The sequence below is a fragment of the Homo sapiens genome, chromosome 2 (assembly GCF_000001405.40).
Source record: "Homo sapiens chromosome 2, GRCh38.p14 Primary Assembly".
Taxonomy (NCBI): domain Eukaryota; kingdom Metazoa; phylum Chordata; class Mammalia; order Primates; family Hominidae; genus Homo; species Homo sapiens.
Genome location: NC_000002.12, coordinates 156,895,320 through 156,898,158, shown reverse-complemented (window position 1 = coordinate 156,898,158; position 2,839 = coordinate 156,895,320). Strand labels below are relative to the sequence as shown.

At 34.9% G+C, this 2,839-nt stretch overlaps 1 annotated feature.

Moving 5' to 3' along the window:
• Window positions 1,472-1,521: an enhancer, noted in NCBI's record as "active region_16669". NCBI's record gives its function as "activates an Ori minimal core promoter by ATAC-STARR-seq in GM12878 lymphoblastoid cells {active_cell/tissue: GM12878}" and the evidence as "EXISTENCE:reporter gene assay evidence [ECO:0000049][PMID:35858748]".

Sequence of the window (2,839 nt, the reverse complement as noted above, 5' to 3'; positions counted from 1 at the left end):
ACTTATTTGCTTTCTGTCTTTCAGAAATTTGCTGAAATCACTGGTTGATTTCTGACTCACTCCTCAAAATCTTTTCTCTCTCTCTTCCTTTCTCTCGTTTTTCTTTATTTGCATTTCTATGCATTTATTCGAGCAGAAGATGGGTCCTGGGAAGGACCAGAGTTAGTGTGTGTCTAGTAAGTGGAAGCTTATTCATATAACTTAAAGCTCATAATGAAGGATACCAAAAATTAAAAACAACCTTGGTGACTCTATTGAATTCTATATAACTATTTAGAAGTTCCATTGATTAACAATATCTCCAACTTAACAAAAATAGTGTATTTTATCTCTGGAAAGATAAAATAGCCATTTGTAAGAATAATTTGAAGACTTTTCTGTAGTAGAAATGATTGCATAATAATATGTCACATGTCCTCCTCATGACCAGTGGCACTGATAATTCTAAGTCAGCTGAAGACCTCTCATCAGGAAAGGAGCAAAATGATCTATCAGACCCTGGAGGATAGAACTGTTTTCTTTGTTGTCACTGCCTTCTGAGGTCACTATTGAACTAGGCAGAAACCAATGGCAGAAATTCATTGACCTGAAATGGATTAAGTAAGAAAATTTATCTTTTTTTACATTCTAACAACTCTCTGCTTTGTAATCCACATAATTGTAAGAAGTAGTGTATTTTAAATCAAGCATATTTGCGTCTAAATTCCCCCATCAGGTACCATATGTGTAATCCTGGACAAATTATATAACATCTGTGAGTTGCAGTTTCTTCATCTGACACGTGGGATTTATAAAGAACCTCTTTCACAACGTTATTGGGAGTAGTTATGGATAGTATATGTTACATGGCATACCTCAACATCCTTTCTTTTTTTTTAACCTTTATTTTAGATTCAGGGGTTCTCAATATCTTTTTAATAAGAAACTATTTTCAATGTTTCAAAAGTAGCCATGAATAAAATGGGATAAAATGGGATTATTCCCTCTGTATAACCTACAGCTAAGGATTCTTTTAAAATACACATATCATTCCAAGGATCAATTTCATCTCTACGCACACACACACATATACACATGTACACACACACACACACACACACACACACACACACACAAAATCTCTCCTTACAAATTCTGCTTATCAAGTAATTTGGCTTTCAATATTTTACAATTTTTTTCAAAATTTATGAAAAGTAAATTCTAAGAGAAAGTGTAACTAGGGCCCTTTGTGAAAATACAAGGGTCAATTTTAATTCCTTTTTCCCAATACATTGAAATCTATTGATCCCTCTCTGTATATATATTCGTGCATTTTTAGATAATGTGTGAGCTTACAAATATTTAAAACATAGCATGGCAAACATAGCTTATTCCACGTATTATGCCTCCCTATTTCTCCCACTTACAGAACATAGACATTTCCAATCTTATAAATATCCAACGGGGGAAAGAATCCCTAACTCGGCCTATGCACATGGAGCCATCCTATCTTTCCCTTCCCCTAGCTTTTTCTAGAGGAGATCCATGGACCAGGGTAAAACAGCATCTGCAGCACACCTGTTACTTTCAGGGGACTAGACATTCTCTGCTTATTTCTCCTTCTGAGAAACCATTTATGACTCATCAATTTCCCCTCAGGAAACATTCTGTGGTTGTTGTGGCCATTGCCGTTGATGTTGGTTTCCCTGTTCTGTCTCTCACACAGTTACCTCAAAATAATCTTTTTCCCCCTTACCAATTCCTTCCATTTGTGAACACACAGAGAAGCAATGACCTCAATTATGGTTCATAAGCATTCATGATACACCTGTAATATAGAGTGAAGGAGAGTCTCAAATTGTGAAGTGAAATTAGACACAATCACAAGCCAGTGCCGCGCACTGCAAGAGCCCTTGAGTGTACCCAGGAGTCTCCTTCAGAATTTCCACAACAATCTCCACCCACATCCTCATCCTCCTCTAATTAAACCTGTTTTCCTCAAGCACCAGTATTTCAAAAACCGTCCTTTTCAATTTTATTATTTTCTTGTGTTGTTTGATTACTAGTATGAAAACACCCACAATTTTTATAGGATTTTTCTGAAAATGTAAAAGAATGTTGCAAAAACATTGGGAGAGGTTAGCCTGGGGTCTTAATCACCATTATAATATTGTTTCTGGAAGAAAATGCATTCTGAGTTCCACGCAAGTGACTTACAAATAAACTTTCAGAACATAACACGTTCTGAATGAGGGGACTGCCTATATACATAGTTGGAAAATCATTGAGGCTTGATACCATTAGGCATCATAAAATCTGCAAATTCACATGTAAATAAATCAAATTATTCACCAGCCCAAACAATTTTGCAGTGAGTTACCACTCATTTTCGAAAGTTCGTTTATTTTCCCTCACCTGGAATAAGTTGTTATTCAAACTGATCACTTAAACCAGAAGACAAAATTAATACTAATAAAAACAGTGGGAAGTAGCCTAGAGAATGCAAAACCAACCAAGCTTAAGAAAAACAATAACTATATATATATTATATATATACATATAATATACACATATATAACATTTGGCCACTTACAAAATGTCTGAGGACATTTCAAAAATCAGGAAATTAAAGCACACATAAGAAACTAGAAAATTTTTACAGAATACACTAATGAGACATTGTGCAATTTCTTGAAAGAAACCTGTGACAGTAACCTTTAATGATATCCTAATACCTCTCGTATCCAGGATCCAAATGTACAAAGAAAGAAAAAATGCTAACAAATAATTTTCCAAGATTTTTGCCACGAGCATAAGCACTCCTATTTGACCAACGGATTAAATTACAGTAGCAATACCT